The 19,278-nt window shown below is 38.0% G+C and overlaps 1 long non-coding RNA gene across 1 annotated transcript in view, besides 1 other annotated feature; it reads left to right on the top strand.

The window, feature by feature from the left end:
- LINC02208 (long intergenic non-protein coding RNA 2208) overlaps positions 1 to 19,278 on the top strand; it is a 211,152-nt gene that overhangs the window by 79,305 nt on the left and 112,569 nt on the right. The window contains exons 5-9 of the long non-coding RNA NR_104610.1: positions 8,386 to 8,441; positions 9,907 to 9,964; positions 10,624 to 10,750; positions 13,665 to 13,732; positions 14,379 to 14,511. This is a non-coding gene — a long non-coding RNA (long intergenic non-protein coding RNA 2208). The remainder of the gene's footprint in view (positions 1 to 8,385; positions 8,442 to 9,906; positions 9,965 to 10,623; positions 10,751 to 13,664; positions 13,733 to 14,378; positions 14,512 to 19,278) is intronic.
- Positions 3,282 to 4,481: an enhancer, noted in NCBI's record as "MED14-independent group 3 enhancer chr5:117814027-117815226 (GRCh37/hg19 assembly coordinates)". NCBI's record gives its function as "activates an origin of replication core promoter dependent on BRD2, BRD4, P300/CBP and CDK7 cofactors, and independent of MED14, by STARR-seq in HCT116 cells {active_cell/tissue: HCT116}" and the evidence as "EXISTENCE:reporter gene assay evidence [ECO:0000049][PMID:35650434]".

Here is a 19,278-nt window from a genome sequence, read left to right as displayed (position 1 = left end):
GTGAATAAGTCTCATGAGATCTGCTGGGTTTATCAGGTGTTTCCACTTTTGCTTCTTCCTCATTTTCTCTTGCTGCTGCCATTTAAGAAGTGCCTTTCCCCTCCCAGCCTGATTCTGAGACCTCCGCAGCCATGTGGAAGTGTAAGTCCAATTAAACCTCTGTTTCTTCCCAATCTCAGGTATGCCTTTATCAGCAGCATGAAAACAGACTAATACAATGATCACATGATTTTTGTTTTTTATTCTTTTTATGTGGTGTATCACATTTATTCACTTGCATATGTTAAGCCATCCCTGCATCCCTGGTATGAAACCCACTTGATCATGGTGGATTACCTTTTTGATATGTTGCTGGGTTCAGTTAGCTAATATTTTGTTAAGGATTTTAGTATATATGTTCATCAAGGATATCAGTATGTAGTTTTCTTTTTTGATTATGTCCTTTCCTGGTTTTGGTATTAGGCTGATGCTGGTTTCATAGAACGAATTAGGGAGGGTTCCTTCTTTCCATATCTTGTGGAATAGTGTCAAAAGGATTGGTACCAATTCTTCTTTGAATGTCTGGTAGAATTCTGCTGTGGACCCGTCTGTTCCTGGATGCTTTCTTGCTGATAATTTTTAAATTTCCATTTCCATCTCACTGCTTGTTCTTGGTCGATTCAGGGTATCTAATTCTTCCTGATTTAAGCTAGAAGGGTTTATTTTTCCAGGAATTTATCCATCTCTTCTAGGTTTTCTAGTTTATGCGTGGAAAGGTGTTCATAGTAGCCTTGAATGATCTCTTGTATTTCATTGGTATCAGTTGTAATTTATCCTGTTTCGTTTCTTAATGAGGTTATTTTGATTTTCTCTCTTTTCTTGTTAATCTTGCTAATGGTCTATTAATTTTATCTCTTCAAAGAACCAGATTTTTGTTTCATTTATCTTTTGTATTTTATTTTGTTTAAATTTCATTTAGTTCTGCTCTGATCTTGGTTATTTCCTTTCTTCTGCTGGGTTTGGGTTTGGTTTGTTCTTGTTTCTCTAGTTCCTTGAGCTGTGACCTCAGAATGTCAGTTGGTGCTCTTTCAGTCTTTTTCATGTAGATATTTAGGGCTATGAACTTTCCTCTTAGCATCGCCTTTGCTGTATCCCAGAGGTTTTGGTAAGGTGTGTCATTATTGTCTTTCAGTTCGAAGAAGTTTTTAATTTCCATCTTGATTTCGTTTTTGACCCAATGCTCATTCAGGAGCAGGTTATTTAGCTTCCATGTATTTGCATGGTTTTGAAGGTTCCTTTCAGAGTTGATTTCCAGTTTTATTCCACTGTGACCTGAGAGAGTGCATAATATAATTTCAATTTTCTTAAACTTATTGAGGCTGATTTTATGGCCTATCTTATGGTCTATCTTGGAGAAAGTTCTATGCACTGTTGAGTAGAATGTGTAGTCTATGGTTGTTAGATGAAATCTTCTATATATATCTGTTAAGTTCACTTGTTCCAAGGTATAGTTTAAATCTATAGTTTCTTTGCTGACTTTCTGTCTTGATGACTTGTCTAGTGCTGTCAGTGGAGTATTGAAGTCCCCCACTATTATTTTGTTGCTGTCTTTCTTATTTCTTATGTCTATTAGTAATTGGTTTATAAATTTTGGAGCTCCAGTGTTAGGTGCATATGTGTTTAAGATTGTGATATTTTCCTGTTGAACAGGGCCTTTTATTTTTATATAAGGTCCCTCTTTGTCTCTTTTAACTGCTGTTGCTTTAAAGTTTGTTTTGTCTGATATGAGAATAGCTACCCCTGCTTGTTTTGGTGTCTATTTGTATGAAATGGCTTTTTCCACCCCTTTACTTTAAGTTTATGTGAGTCCTAATGTGTTAGGTGAGTCTCCTGAAGGGAGAAGATGGTTTATTGGTGAGATCTTATCCCTTCTTTTAACTGGAGCATTTAGGCCATTTACATTCAATGTTAATATTGAGATGTGAGATACCATTGCATTCATCATGCTATTTGTTGCCTGTGTACTTTTGCTTTTTATCTTGTATTTTTGTTTCATAGGTCTTGTGTGATTTATGCTTTAAAGAGGTTCTGTTTTGATGTGTTTTTAGGATTTGTTTCAAGATTTATAGCTCCTTTTAGCAGTTCTTGAAGTGGTGGCTTAGTAGTGGCAAATTCTCTCAGCATTTGTTCATCTGAAAAAGACTGCATCTTTCCTTCATATATGATGCTTAGTTTCACCGGATACAAAATTCTTGGCTGATAATTATTTTGTTTGAGGAGGTTGAAGATAGGGCCCCATTTCCTTCTGGCTTTTAGGGTTTCTGCTGAGAAATCTGCTGTTAATCTGATAGATTTTCCTTTATAGGTTACCTTGTGCTTTTATCTCACAGCTCTTAAGATTCTTTTCATCATCTTAACTTTGGATAACCTGATGACAATGTCCCTAGGTGATTATCTTTTTGTGATCAATTTCCCAGGTGTTCTTTGTGTTTCATGTATTTGAATGTCTAGATCTCTAGCAAGGCCAGGGAAGTTTTCCTCGATTATTCCCCCAAATATGTTTTCCAAGCTTTTAGAATTCTCTGCTTCCTCAGGAACACTAATTATTCTTAGGTTTGGTCATTTAACACAATCCCAGACTCTCGGGAGGCTTTGATCATATTTTCCTATTCTTTGTCTCTGTTGGATTGGGTTAATTTGAAGACCTTGCCTTTGAGCTCTGAATTTCCTTCTTCTACTTGTTTAATTTAATTGCTGAGACTTTCCAGAGGATTTTGTAATGCTATAACTGTATCCAATGTTTCCCAAATTTTTGATTGCGTTTTCTTGAAGCTATCTGTTTCCTTCAATATTTCTCCTTTCACTTCTTGTATCATATTATGGATTTCCTTGCATTGGGCCTTGCCTTCCTCTGGTGCCTCCTGATTAGCTTAAAAACTAACCTCCTGAATTCTTTTTCAGGTAAATCAGGGATTTCTTCTTGGTTTGGATCCATTGCTGGTGAAATAGTATGATTTTTCAGGGTTTTAAAGGGCCTTGTTTTGTCATATTACCAGAGTTGGTTTTCTGGTTCCTTCTCATTTGGGTAGGCTGTGTCAGAGGGAAGTTCTATGGATGAAGGCTGTTGTTCAGATTATTTTGTCCCATGGGGTGTTCCCTTGATGTAGTACTCTCCCCACCCCACCTTTTTTTTTTTTTTAATGGATGTGGCTTCCTGTGAGTTGAACTGCAGTGATTGTTGTCTCTCTTCTGGGTCTAGCCTCCCAGCAAATCTACCCAGCTCTGGGCTAGTACTGAGGGTTGTCTGTGCAGAGTCCTGTGATGTGAACCCTCTATGGGTCTCTCAGCCATAGATACCAGTATCTGTGCCAGTGGAGATAGCAGGTGGCTACGATGGACTCAATGAAGGTTCTTAGCTTTGGTGATTTAATGCTCTATTTTTGTGCTGGTTGGCCTCCTGCCAGGAGGTCACGCTTTCTAGAGAGCATCAGCTATGGTAGTATGGAGAGGAACCAGTGGCAGGTGGGGCCCTAGAACTCCCAAGATTATATGCCCTTTGTCTTCAGCTACCAGGGTGGGTAGGGAAGGATGATCAGGTAGGGGCAAGGCTAGGCGTGTCTGAGCTCAGACTCTCCTTGGGTAGGTCTTGCTGTGGCTGCTGTAGGGGCTGGGGGTGAGGTTCCCAGGTCAATGGAGTTGTGTACCTAGGAGGATTACCGCTGCCTCTGCTGAGTCATGCAGGTTTTCAGGGAAGCAGGGAAAAGCCGGCAGTCACAGGCCTCACCTAGCTCCCACGCAAACCAAAGGGCCAGTCTCACTCCCACGGTGCCCCCTCAACAGTCCCGAGTCTGTTTCCAGGCAGTAGGCAAGCAGGGCTTGACAACTTGCCCCAGGCTACCTGCCTCCCAGCTGCGAAAGAAAAGGGGTTGGCTCTTCCCCTGCCTGTGGAGTCTGCACACTGGATTTGCACCCTCCCCCGAGTTCTGGCCAAGAGGCTTCTCACCCTGTTCAAATTGTTACAAAATGCAGCTAGAGATTTTCTTCTCCCTGCAGTGTCTCCCCCGTGCTCCTCTGGTTGCCCTCCCAATGGATACCTGTGGTGCCAGGCAGGAATGGCCTGCCTGGAGACCCAGCAAGCTTCCAGGGTCTTTCTGCTGCTTCCTCTACCCCTGTATTTCACTCAGCTCTCTAAATTGACTCCGCTCCAGGTAAAGTTGGAAACTTCTCCTGCAAACATACCTTCATTTTCTCCAATGCGAGTGTGTGTTCAGGAGAGGAGGCTCTCCCTTTCCCACTTCCACAGTTGGGGCACTCACCATATCTGGGGTTTCTCTCAGGTCCTACTGGAGCAGTCCACTTCCTTCAGAGGGTCTGTGGGTCCTCTCGGGATTAAGAAGTTCCTTTTTCTCAATACTTCCACTTTGTTACCTTGGACACAAGTGTATGGGAGGTTCTCCAGTTGTAAGATGGCTGCCAGCAGTTTCCAGTGCTAAAATATTCTTTCTCACAACCAATAAGAAAAGACAGTTTTGAAAGCAACTCAGGAAAAGGAAGAAAGAGTCTTTTCTTTCCTAGAAGCCCAAATATATCCTGAAGTCCTGTTGGCTCTTACTGAGTCACATGTTTATCCCTAAAGTAATCATATGGCCAGGGATATAGACTGTGCTGATCAAAGACTGCATCTTGAGCTACTGATGAGTTTTATTCTACCTAAAGGATTTGTCTGATAATCAATGAGGTGTGTGTAGAAGTTTGCTGAAGATGCTATAACAAAGTGCTGCAAACTGTGTGGCTTAAAATGGAAATTTATTCTCTCACAGTTCTGGAGGCTAGAAGTAGAAAATCGAGGTGTCAGCCCGCTGTGTTAAAACCTCTAGGGGAGAATGCATGCCTTTGTCTTAAATTCAGGTGCCGCCAGCAATCCTTGACATTTTTTGGCTTGTAGCTGCCTAACTCCAATCTCTGCCTCTCTCATCATATGGCTTTCTCCTTCATGTGTCTGTGTCCAAATTTCCATCTTCTTTTTTATGAGATGGAGTCTCACTCTGTCACTAGGTTGGAGTGTAGTGGCACCATCTTGGCTCACTGCAACCTCGGACTCCCTGGTTCAAGTGATTCTCCTGCCTCAGCCTCTGGAGTAGCTGGGATTACAGGCACCACCCATCATGCCCAGCGAATTTTTGTATTTTTAGTAGAGATGGGGTTTCACCATGTTGGCCAGGATTGTCTCGATCTCCTGACCTCGTGATCCATCCACCTTGGGCTTGCAAGGTGCTGGGATTACAGACGTAAGCCACCACGTCCAGCCCAAATTTCCCTCTCCTTATAATGATACTAGTCATATTGGATTAGGGCCTACCTAATTACTTGATTATACCTTATTTAATTGTATCTGCAAAGACCCTATTTCCAAATAAAGCAATATTTGCAGATATTGGGGGTTAGGACTTCAGCATATCTTTTTGTGGACACAATTCAACCCATAATAGGGTGAATGTCCTTATTAATTTTTTCTGTTGTTATTAGAAGGAGGGAATGCATGCTGTAGAGGCAACTGAAAAATAGTTATGCATTGTTAATGCAAAATAATTATTTGACTTCACAATTGATTTATCCAGTGGGATCCACTGGTTCTTCACATGTAATGGAAAAGTGGTTTTATCTCATGATCTGCAACAAAAGCTGTTCTAGAAACAGGGCTTGCCTCAGTCCAAAAGCAGAGAGTGAGAACAATTATGCTAAATAGGGTCTTCTATGTTATTCATCCATAAAGAGGACACATTGCAAATATTGTTAATAAGTCCAAACCAGCCACTTTCCCCTCTAAAAATGATTCTCCTGATTTATGAATACCATGGCTTATTTTTCAGGACTGTCCATTATTTTCCCACTTCATCTCCTAAAAGAATGAAATTCTTATGTCCTTCTTGCAACAGAGTCACAGTCGAATGCACATCATTTTACACACATACACCCAAGAATATGGCTGTCTTTCTGACACTTTCTGTGGGCCAAAGTTGAGCACGAATTACCTGATATCAGTTTGCCAACAGCAGCGACTACAAATCTGCTGATTCACTTACTTCTTGAAGAAAAATCAATTGTGTCAAATCATCTTGTGGTATGATAGGAAACATCGTGGGTGCAAGTCAATTCAATATTAATTTAGTACCCTGTATTTGACACTGCTTGGCACTGAGCTAAATCTGAATTTCTTGCCCCATAAAACAGTCATAATGGGGTGCACCTCTATCATTTCACTACTACCTACTACTATTTCTACCACCTCCACCACTGCCAGCACTATAAGGGCTACTGCTACTTCTACAATATTAGGTAATATAAGGCACTCAGTATGTAACAGACAGTTTTCTGATTATTTTCATATAATACTGAAAACAGCTCTTACAATATAGGAACTATTAATATATCTGTTTTATAAATGTAAAAATGAAAGCACAAAGCAGCTAAGTAACTTGTCCAAAGTCACATAGCTAATAAGTGGCAGAATGAGGATACAAATTCTGGCTTTCTAGCTCCAGAACTCTGCAGTACCCTGTATAACCACCATTAATTTAATTAACAACACCGGCTATGGGATTGATGCATAAAGGAACATTTACTTTGTGTATTTTAATGCGTTAATGTGAGAAATATGAATTTCTTTGCCAGTATAGCTGCAAATATGAGCATATCTTTTTATTTTTTTAATTCATTGCAAGAGACCCACCTATTTTATTAGCAGTGCTATCTTCTTCTCGAGGTCTTTACTCCCAACTCTCCTTAATTGTTAAAGAACCTAAGGGGTTTTCTCAGTCTCATAGGGTTCGTTCATCTTCCAAACACCAGACAGACAGCTGGTTTATTTGCTCTGTGCCCTCCTGCTGTCACTGTTTCCCTATGATGACCGATTCCCCATTGCTCCACAGTGCCCATCTACTGTGGTAATTACGTCTTGCTAGTTCGTTCATTCAGCAAATGTTTTTAGTGACCACATAATATAGGCAGGCCCTGTGCTTCACTACTAGCTGGACTACAAAGAAAATCAAGAGAGACATAAAGAGCATTGGGAGATATATGTAATGTTAAATGACGAGGTAATGGGTGCAACACACCAACATGGCACATGTATACATATGTAACTAACCTGCACGTTGTGCACATGTACCCTAAAACTTAAAGTATAAAAAAAAAAGAGCCCCGCTTTAAGGAGCTTACATTGTGGTGGGAGAGGCAGACAACAAACAAGGAGGCCAATAACTAAGGGAAATAACTACTGATTGTTATGTGTGTCCAAAGGAAAGAAGTGGGAAATAAAGAATGTAGTTCTATTAAGGATAGGCAGGTAGAGCATCTGTAAGGAGGTGGCATTTAAGTTAAGACCTGCAATTATAAAAATGTCTTAAAATTAGATTATGATGATGGTGCACAACTCTGACTATACTAGAAGTATCTTTGAATTGCTCACTTTAATCAGGTGAATGTTATGATATATGAATTACATATCAATAAAGCTGCAAAAAAACTATAACAAGGTGCTGATATCCAGCAGTTATGACCAGAAGTAGACCGCTTTGTATTTTCTGCTTTTGTGCCTATTGAAAATTCTGTTATATAAATTGGGTAAATTCTCAGTTTTGATCTGAGATTTGGCTCTCCTGGGTGTATTATCACTTGTTCATCTTTATTACAGATTTTACAGTTACACTGGTGTTTGCTCCTTCATTGTTTCCCACCCTTGTGAGTTTAAACCTTAAAAAAATTCCCCTTGCTATAATTTTGGTACAGTTTAGGAGGGAGGAAACTGAGATCTCATTGTTCAAGGAATAGATATTAGTTTAATCAAATCATTGTAATTCCAGTTGCTGTATATTTTCAATAATCTAAACTTAAGCCAATCAGTGCATTTCCCTAGGTGACCTTCATTAGTAAATGGTGTCCACATGGCCTAACAACCCAATCATAGTTAACTGAGGTACTTTTAGTTCATAATTGGTAATAAGGTTTTGCTGTGCTCCTATCCAGACTCTCATCTTGAATGGTAATCTCCATCATCCCCACGTGTCAAGGGAGAGACCAGGTGGAGGTAATTGAATCATGGGGGCAGTTTCTCCCATGCTATTCTCGTGATAGCGAGGGAGTTCTCACGAGACCTGATGGTTTTATAAATGTTTGGTAGTTCCTCCTGCGTTCGTTCTCCTTCCGGTCACCTTGTGAGGAAGGTTGTTTGTTTCCCCTTTATCACTCGCTGTGATTGTAAGCCTCCTGAGGCTTCCCCAGTCATGCAGAACTGTGAGTCAATTAAACCTTTTTCCTTTATAAATTTCCCAGTCTCTGGTAGTTCTTTATAGCACCATGAGAACAGACTAATACAACTGGGAAAATTTTATCTCTCTCTCCTTTCAGATGTGACAAGGAAGACTGCAACCCTATTTGCTTCTGATAACCTTCCTATGACTAAGGTAAGACAGCCTTGGGATAAAGCAAGTTTTGTATGTGGCATAAAAGGGAAAGAGAATGAGCCTGGGCACATCAAATACTTCTGAAGTCTCCTTTACATCTGAACTTATGAAAATGTGAGAACATACATTTCCCAATTGCTTGAGCCAATTTGAGACAGGATTTCTGTATGTTTGTTTGTTTGTTTGGCTTTTTCCAGCCCAAGTCCTTTATCTGGTACAAATGGGTTGGAGAGATTAGTAACTGTAATTGACATTCCTATCGGATGCTGAAACAATTCATTAGAAAGCCAGGGATATGAGAAGATTGTCTGGAGAAGGGGGAAAAGTGGAGGTTGGTGCAAAAGGCACCCTGTGTCTCAAGAACCTTAGCAACAGTTAGCCAGTACAGTTTCACGGTTGCAGTAGGTGGGGAAATGGTAAGCATATGTAGTGTTTGGGTTAGAGGGTAGAGAAGAAATGCAGGTAACTAACATTTATTGAGAATTTAGTTCTTGGCACTGTTTCCATTTCAGATATGTTACTACATTTTTGCCTCTCAACAGCACTAAGAAGTACATATTTAAAGAGATAGAAACTTGAGACTCTGAGATATTAATATTCCCACAATTACTCAGCTAGTATAAAACTCCTCTCCCATCCACAGTGCCTCTAAGTTCCTTACCATCTATAGCATAGTTTAAGAATTTAGGAAGTCAAAAAAGTACAGAATACATGTTTAAAAGGGGTCCATCAAAGGTGCTAACATGAAGACGATGTATTGTTATCTCCCAACTCTAAGGAATATTTGCTAATTCAGAATAGATTCAGAATAAATCATTCCTGAATGCTTCAGGGTTTTTGTGCTAATTGTTTTAATGTAATCATAGCAGAACACCCCAGATATTCTAAATACTTATCTCAGGACTCAGTTATCTGAAAAGTCTCATCACGAAGACCTGTACATGCTAATGCTTGGTAACTCAGGGAAGCCTTCTTACGTGACCAACACCACAAAGCCAGGTGGAGAAGATCCCAGAGGTCTCTGGTGCTTGATGTGTTTCTCTAAGTTTTGCTGAAATAATTTAAAAAAAGATGAAGTGGGAGAATTTAGAGATTATTACTTACATAACATCATAATTTATCTCCTTTGCCAATATCCTCTTCTTCAAAGCAAAGATTTTTAAAGATGAGTGAATAAAGATTGATTATACAAGGTTCTGGGGAAGGAGGGTCAAGATGGTATGGTTTGCATATTGTATCACTTTTTTTCCCCCTCAGAATCATTTTATTTACTTCTAGGAAGCTGGGAGTGTGACTCTAGAACAACACAGATTTAAACTATGTGAGCTCACTTCTAGGCAGATTTTTTTTTTAATCAAAGTTACACCCCATGTGCCTGCCTCTCCTGCCTTCCTTTCCACCACCTCCATATCTCCATATACAACCTGAGACAGTAAGACCAATGCTTCCTCTTCCTCCTTCTCAGCCTATTCAGTGGAACGATGAGGATAAAGGCCTTTCTGATGATCCCCTTCCATTTAATAGTAAATATATTTTATCTTCCTTATGATTTTTAAAATGACACTTTCCTTTCTCTAGATTACTTTATTGTGTGACCACAGTATATAACACATATACAAAAGATATGTTAATTGACTGTTAATGTTATTGGTAAGGCTTCCAGTTAACAGTAGGCTGTTAGTAGTTAAGTTTTTGGGGAGTCAGAAATTGTATGCAGGTTTTCAACTGTGCAGGGGGACAGAGCAGCCCTCAACCCCCAAGTTATTTAAGGGGTCAACTGTACTTCTTCCATAAAATGTCTGACAAAAATAAAAATCTAAAAATATTTACTTTCAAGTTTTTGGGTACTTAATCATTGACATTGTAAGGAGATAAAACTTTCCCTCCAAAGGTTTGATGATTAAGTTTATTAAATAAACTGACAGTGGACAGACTAACAGAAGAAAAGGCATACAAATGTATTATGTGCCTGAGGGCATCAAAGGAAGGAAAAGTGAGTACCCCATAACCTAATAAAATTTAAAAGCTTATGTGCCCTCCTCATAGGGAAGGTGGGGGGGGGCATGTAAGCAACATAGAGAAAGTTAACGATTTTGGGGGAAGATAAATAGGTAATAGTTTGTGACAAAGATTGGTTGTTTGTGACGCTGACCTCCAAACTCTTCTCTTGTGATACAATTAGTCTTCTCTGGTTGAGATTCCTGGGGAGGACACTCATGACAATTGTGGTTTTTGGAGGATCTATCTTTAGGCAGCTAAAAGGAAGTTCAGAGAAAGCCCCTTCCTATACTTCGCAGGAGAAAAAAGAGGTAAGAGGCTTTGGTTCTGTTTTAGTTCCAAGCACTTGGTATGTCAAAGCACCATACTTAGGGGTATTGTTTTCTGAGTCCTAACAACATTGAATATTTCTTTGCAAATGAATTATCTGATGTGTTTCCATTCTGGTGTCCTATTTTTAAGAACATCTTAATATGTTATTTTCTTTCAAAAACTTCATGGTGCAATTGCATGATGAATTAACAATAAAATGTTTCTCCGTGATATATATATTTGTTGCTGTTGTTGAGATGGGGTCTCACTCTGTTGTCCAGGCTGAACTTGAACTCCTGGCCTCAAGCAATCCTCCAGCTTTGGCCTCCCAAAGTATTGGGATTACAGGCACGAGTCACTGTGCCCAGCCTCCTTGACCTTTTTTATAAGGAGCATTAGTCAAATTTAATTTTGAATGCACTGGAAAGTTGTCCTAATTAATTCGGATTAAATATTGCCTGATCATATATAAATAACCTCTTACTATGTTTGAATTATGTTAAAAACTTACTAGAAGTAAATCATGATTTATTAGATAAAAAAGTAGTATGATGTCAAAATAACATAAAACAAGTACAAAACAGATTTTAATTCTGATTTATATGTGCTTTTTTAATATATCTGGAGTAGGTACTTAGCAATTTTTGGCCCTCTGGAATAAAATATAATAATTCATTTAATCACATGCTAGTTTTTATTGAGGTCTAGAAAATGTAAAGTACTTGATCAATTGATTTTACTTTTAAAATTGGTTCTTTTTAAGTGCTCAGAGTTTAAAACATTACTATCTGCGATGATAAATACAGGTCTTGCCATCTTGATATTGATTGTTTCAGTGGAAGTGGGTAGTGTCTTGTAGGTGACTGAAAATGAGGCAATAGCAAGGAATACTTGCCCTCAAAGGATACAGATGGTTGTAAATCCTCCCAGGGGTGCACTCAACATATCCATCTCTTAAAAGTCTGCTTCCACCCTGACCTCCCTAAGGGGCCCAACAGTTGTGATGTTTCTGTGTGGGAATTGTATTCCATCTTCCTTTCTGATGGCTCCTCCCCTTCCCTTGGCCACTTCAGATAGAGGTGCAGGACATTGCTGAAGTGAGCATGCTCACTAGTTGGTACAGCATAAGTTTCCAGGAGCATAGAGAATTTGAACAAAATTTTAAGATTCATTTTTCCTATTGCTAAAGTCACATTTGGATCATGAGGATCTTCTTCCTTTTTTTATTTTCTCCCTTATTATTTTTATTATCTTCTCATATTCCTCTCCACCTCATTGCACCTTTCCTCTTTAATTTCCTTGAAATTACTTGGTAAGGCAGTTGGTACATGGAATATATATTTTACAATAAAATTATAAATGGTGGTTAAATTCTATACTAGCTCATACATGGATTTTTTTCAATGTTTTTTGAAAGTGAGCCTTATTTAGTTAGACTAGAAAATTAATTCTATGCAAATATATATATATCCCAGTTACCAGCTGGCCAGTAATTTTAGGTATATGGACATCCTAGAAAGTGCTAGTTCCATGGGGCAGTAAGTATCTTTTTCAAATATGAGTAAACTGTCTTAAGCAAAGGAGAGAAGGAATTGAGAAAAATGCTGAAAATAAAAGGAGGTAATATTTTTAGGTTGAATGATACATTAGTAGATGGTGTTTAAAGTCTTCAGAATGTATTGCCTATGTAACTGTAATAACCTCCTTAGTAGTGCTGCTGAAATATTAATTATAAAATATTATAATACTAGTAAATAAACTAAACAGAAAACATTTAATTAAAAAGTTTTCAAAGAATTTTAATGTTTATATTTTATATTTCATTGGTTGTCATTTTAACTTAGTTTTAGGGTTCACTATAACGTCTAATTTAATTCTGAGGTTCTAATTTGTTATACCTTTTCCCCCACTTAATTTGATTTACAAATAAAAGTCCATGAAGGAAATTTTACCAATAAGTCTTTTGTTGAAGAAATAGAGAAAAAAGAAGAGTAATTTCTTAAGTAAATTATTTCCATCATTAATTGAGAGACAATTTTTAAAAATTCTGCTAGGCTAGTAATTTTCTTCTTCTCCATTTGTGTTACCTATCATATTACTACCATCTTTTCATGTTTCCCGGGCTAGAGATTCAGAGATGTTATGTGGTGATCTGGTCACCACATAATGTTAAAATTTTAGCATGTAAAACTAAAAATTTTTAACTTTTTCTACAACTGAACTTCATTTTTATTCTGAGCAACTATTTCCCTAGAGTGGCAGAAAACTATTCTCTGACTAGGGTGTCTCTTTTTCTGCTGAATCTAAGTTCTTGAAGGCTTCTACAAGTGCCTAGTGCTAGTGGTGAGGTGGATTTATCTGACTTACTGTCCCATCTGGCAGAGTTACATCTGCGGTCATACCCATCCTGTTGGGTAACTGGTCACTGGCACAAGCAAGTTACCTGACAAAGTCCCAAGCTCTTGTTTGGAAGCCCCTTGCCAGCCCACCACTTCTTTCTCCTACTTTTCTGTACTCTTGGACACATGGGAATCATTCAGCTGCTTTTGCCGGGACTGAGTCATGATGAACCCTTGCAGTTGATTAAGAGCTTGTTGGTCTTGCAAGGCCATGCTTCTATTTCTGATCTGCAGATTCTCTACGTTCTTTTACCTAGGAAAAGGCCCACAGGTTCTTGGAAGTTCTTGGGACAGCCACAATGGAGGGTCCATTTATTAGGGACCAATGTCTAGGTTCCAATAGACAATACTCTAACTTTCTCTTCTCCCAGTCCAGGGGAATCTTGGGTATGTTTGCATGATGGAGTATGGAAGGGGTATAGCCTGATTTTTCTCTTCCTGATTTCTTCCAAATCTATTTACTTTTCTTCCCCAAGTTTTGAGTTTCTCACGCCTCAGGTTTTTGAAATTCCAGCAAAGGACAATCTAACTGGCTGAATGAGAGGAGCGGGAAGAAGAAAGGGCCAAAAGATGACAGAAAATGTGAGTGGAGACCAATGTTATTTCAAAAAGTATCCCACCATTTATCATTAATTCATTCCCCTCACTAACCATATCTAGTCAGTCATGTTCCTATAGATATGAACACTATTACCTCTCTTGGATTCATTCTGTCCATTGCAAGGCAGATTGAGTGAAACCTTCAGTGGCTTCACATTTTCTGCAGAATAAACTAAACTTCTCAGAGCAGCATTGAAATTTCTCCAAAATTAGATACTAAACTAGAACATTTGTTTCAGCTTTTCCTACATCCTACCCACCTAACACTTTATACTCTCCCATTTTTGGAAAATGTCATTCGTATATTTGTATCTTTGCTCATGCTAATCTCTTTACCTAGAACTGTTTGTTGCCTTTTAAAAACTACTTAATATCTACCATGCAAGGCCCAGGCCAAACGCTCCCTTATCCAAGAAGCCTCCTTAAGTTTCCTGAGGAAAAAACTGCTTTTTTTTTTCCCTTCAAGTTTCCTAGCTTTTTTGTGAGTGGTGGAGGTGGATTCTTCCTTGATTAAAATTATTTGTTTAAATGTTCAATATCTCCCTAGATTTGAACACCTCGAATGGAATAATCATGTATCATTCTAACATTTAACAAGATTTCTAATGTTTTTCTCTTAATCATACAGTGCCCTTTCAGATGTTCTAAAATGGCCAAAATAGCAGTGACTCCTATTTTGTAACTTGGTGATTCTTAATACAGCTTCCATTTAATGGTCTAAGATTAGGAGACCACAAGTCCCTGGAGCAACAGGAGCAAATGTGAGTGTCCTAGATAAACCAGGCCATATGGTCACTCTATGTGAATTGGTTGTTCTTTTTAAAGGGATGACAAGTAGGATAGGGGGAAGGGAAGAGAAAGGCATATTCCTTTCTTAGAAAGGCAATGCCTGCAAGTTGTCCTCATAATTTTCATTATATCCTAAAAGACAGAATGTAGTCACATGGCCACATTTAACTGCAAAGGAAGCTGGAAACATATGGCTAGGTGCCATGTTTCTAGTTAAACTCAGGGTTTATTAGTAACAAGGTAGGGAGACTAGGTATGGTGGGCAGCCAGTAGTTTCTGCTAGACAGAATGAATTTGAGCATTTCCTTCATTCCTGAGATAGTAAATAACTAAAATCTCTACAAACTGACAGAATGGAATGCTTTATTTTGGGATACCAGGGAAATGTATTTTTTTCACACTATTTAATAACAAGTAGATCATCTCCCTTTCAAGACAAGGTATATAAATTTTCGAGGAAAATATTTTTAGAAAGAAGCTAAACAGATGGTCTCAGTAAATACAGTTTAGAGGAAATTGGTGAGGAAAACTGACTGTTAAACTGAGGGTTCTACATCAAAGAATTACCAACTTGCTCTTCCAGCTTTGCTCTGGTAGATCTGATATAAGAGAGCGAGCTTCGCTGCTTTTCATACTGTCATTACATCAAGGAGGACTAAGTCTTCAGCTTCTTTCATTAATTAGCCATGCCATCCAGTGGGCAAACCCACCTTAGAGAAATTTAGCCGTAGGCACCCATGGTGTGTCCACAGCAGGAAGGTGTAGGCCAGTGTGTCTCCAAGTGGTTTCTCTGAAGATTTCACAGGAGGTGAAAATCTCCCTTACAGATTTATCTCTTTAATCAGTGGTGACCTCAATATGTCATCCCACATTTTTTGAAAAGAATCTGAAGTAGAAGCGCTATTCCTTAAATTTGAACGTGTACTCTTTCCTCCTTCTGCAACCCCCAATTTTGCTATCAGTCATGGTTGCTAATATCCCTGCTGTCTTCAGCAGAGCTGCCAACTCTGTCAGTTTCTGAAATATTGTTTATGCGGAGCAATTTATTTTTTAGGGAGATGAAAAGCAGATTGCAAAAGCAGTCTATTGCCAACTTGTTGGAATGTATGTATTCTAGTTCAGAACACTTCAATATAACTATTGAATTATTATTTATGTTGATTGGTAAAGTGCTTCTCAAATAATTGATTCATAAAACAGTCTATGCTTGATATAATTAACAATGTTTCCTTATTTGTGTTTGTAAGATATTATGTTATTCAAAATATTGGACATATGGAGGATGAATTGTAACAGTGCTTCAGTGTGACATTTTTTACATATATGCTATGCGTAATTTTTGTGGAGAAGCATATTTTTACTGTATTTTCTCATTTAAAATAGTTAATCATTTGTTTCAAAACTTTTTACATTTGCTGCTATTTTAAAAAATACTTGTGGGAATGCAGGTATGGCAAAAATAGCTCTTGTTTTATTTAGTGCTGTTATTTCTAAGAAAAGGCAAACAATTATAAACATTTCTACTTAGAACATGTTGAGTGTTGTAGGGAAGAAAATATACTTAAAAGTGGACTTTGTAAGGAACGCTTATACACTGTTGGTGGCAGTATAAATTAGTTCAGCCACTGCGGAAGACAGAAATACCATTCAACACAGCAATCCCATTACTGGGTATATTCCCAAAGGAATATAAATCATTTTATTAGAGAGACACGCACGCACATGTTCATTGCAGCACTTCACAATAGCAAAGGCATGGAATCAACCTAAATGGCAATCAATTTTAGACTGGATAAAGAAAATGTGGTACATTTACACCATGGAATACTGTGCAGCCATAAAGAACGAGATCATATCCTTTGCATGGACATGGATAAGGGTGGAGCCCATTATCCTCACCAAACTAACACAAGAACAGACAACCAAATACTATGTGTTCTCATTTATAAGTGGGAGCTAAATGATGAGAACACATAGACACATAGAGGGAAACAACATACACTGGGACCTTTTTGGAGGGTGGGGGGGTGAGAGGATCAGGAAATTAACTAATGGGTACTAGGCTTAATATATGAGTGATGAAATAATCGGTACAACAAACCCTCATGACACAAGTTTACCTATATAACAAACCTGAAATCGTATCCCTGAACTTAAAAGTTTAAAGTAGACTTTCTGCCTTTCATTTTTTTCTTTCTTTTTGAATCTCACACTGCATTCTAACTTTCTGTCTCTCCCTTTTATTCTCTCCCTTCCCTTACTTTTTTTTTAAAAAAAGAATGTCTAATCTTTTTAAACTCCTCTATTCTCTCTCCCTCTCTCCCTCCCTGCCTCCCTGCCTCCCTCCCTCCCTCCCTCCCTCCTTTCCTCCTTCCCTCCCTCCCTCCTTCCCTCCCTCCCTCCCTCCCTCCCTCTCTCCCTCTCTCCCTCCCTCCCTCCCTCCCTCCCTCCCTCTCTCCCTCTCTCCCTCTCTCCCTCTCTCCCTCCCTCTCTCCCTCTTGTAGAACTTAGGGAGGTTCTAAGTTATTTTTCTCTTCCAGCATTGATTATCCTGAGAAGTGATTCCCTCACTCTGACTATTATTCAATACTTAGGAAATCCAAAATGTTAATGAGTTTTAACCTGGGTGGCAGAACTGGAAAGTCAGTGACTTTCTAGCTTATTCTCATTCACTATTACACTCTTCTCTCTATTAGAAATTTTATAAACAGATTAATAACAAAAATCATTATAAATTTTCTTGAGAGAAGAAAAACAACAGCCAGGGCCTTGTATTTCGTAACAGCAGTTATTATTTCTGCTTCCAGGAATAGTGACCATTGTTCAGTCTGACCTCTATTAGCTTGTTGAATAATTCTATTGAAAAGCTACGTTTTTTATTTCTTGACTCAAAATGCAATTAACCTACATGCTATTTGAGAATAAACCTCTATTTTTCATTGAGATTATACCAAATGGTAAAATATTTGGTTCCTCTTTCTCTCTCTGGATATAATGAGAAAAGCATTCTTTTTGGTTTTTAAAGTAAAAGTGTTTTTAAAAAATAGTAAAAGGAATAAAGTAACTGCTTGAATAAAAGACATAACTCAAACATTTCAGAAAGTAGTTTTCAATCTTAGTTTTTGCCTTAGCTTTCCTCAGGATTGCATAGTAATCATCACTGTAGTTACAAAGAACTAGTTATAGTTGGGTCTATGTGGCTGTAATTCTTACTGATTTTTTAAAATACAGAATTTTATATATACTGAGGAATTTATATATGAAATAAAATAAGTGTCTTGTAATGTTCACCATTTGGTTTTTTATTGGTTGTTTTATTTGCCAGGTAAAACATCTCCCTGTATTTGCAAGCAATATCTTTAGCAATGGTATGCAGATCACTTTATTACATATGATATAATTTAGTGTCTGCATTTGTTCATGAATCAAAAACATGATTAAATAGCTATTAAAAAGAATACATTCATTCTTATTTTTCTGACTATGTATTTCACATTATTTTACTCATTTTTCTGACCACAAATTATTTTATTTCAAATGGTCATTTTAGACATTTACAAAATGAGTAGCATCTACTAATGGTAGAAAGAGCTAGGTGAAATTATCATTTTATATTTTCATATCAGATAGTGTGCAGTGCTTCCTGATCATGTATTGTGTATGCTATGAAATAAAGTTTGGGATGGATGATAATGAGACTACTGTAAAAATAAACATGAGCATAGTAATCATGCTGTTTTTTGAAAGTGAGACTTACTTAGACTTAAATTGATTCTGTGTATATATATGTATATCAGTTACTGGCTGGCTAGTAATTTTAGGTACATGGACATCTCAGAAAGTGTCATTCCTGTGGGGTAGTAAGTAACTTGGTCAAATATCTGAGTAAACTCTTAAGCAAAGGAGAGAAGAAATTGAAGAAGATGCTCCAAATAAAATAAGTTTTCTAGGATTAATGATACATTAGTAGTAGGCATTTGTTAAGGTCCTCGGAATTTATTGCTTATGTAACTACAATAACCTCCTAAACTAGTTTATCTGCCCACAGTCTGCCCCCTCCAATACATTCTTCACATAAATTTTGTCCTTGAATGCAAACCGATTATAATGTGCCCTTATTTTGAATCTCTCATTTATTCACTTTCACCTGTAAGATCGTCTATGCTTCTTGGTGTGATGTTTGAGGACCCCTGTGTCTAGTCCTGGTTAATAGCATTTATTATCAGTTTTACCCTGACTGGCTCACCCTCTCTGTCCAGTCTACTGAATAACTCAATTTGCTTGTATGCTCCAGGCTTTCCCTTGCCTCTGAGCTTTTAATGTGTCTCTTCTTCCATCTCAGACTCTGTCACTGATGTTTGCTATGCTCTTGTGCTTCTGGGCCAAGCTGTAAGTATTAACATTTCTGGGAAGACTTCTCCAATTCTAAACCTACAAAATACCTGGGCTAGGAGTCCGTATACCCTTCCAAATACTCTGTGCATGATGCTACCATATCACTCATTTACTTGTCTGTCTCAACACTAGACTGAATGACTGAGGCTGACTAAATGTGTATCATGGTTATCAACCAAAATGGTGTTGAGATTCCAACAAATTGGCTTCTTTCAGAAGATACATTGGGAAGTCTTTTCCTCCTAGTCTCAGAGACATTCTAATAGATAGGGGCTATTTTTCACCTTACTACTCTTCTTTGGTATCAAGGTGGGTTATCAATCATTTCTGGATTTACTCTGAGT

The sequence above is a fragment of the Homo sapiens genome, chromosome 5 (genome assembly GCF_000001405.40).
Source record: "Homo sapiens chromosome 5, GRCh38.p14 Primary Assembly".
NCBI classification, from domain to species: domain Eukaryota; kingdom Metazoa; phylum Chordata; class Mammalia; order Primates; family Hominidae; genus Homo; species Homo sapiens.
This window is presented reverse-complemented; position numbering and strand designations above follow the sequence as displayed.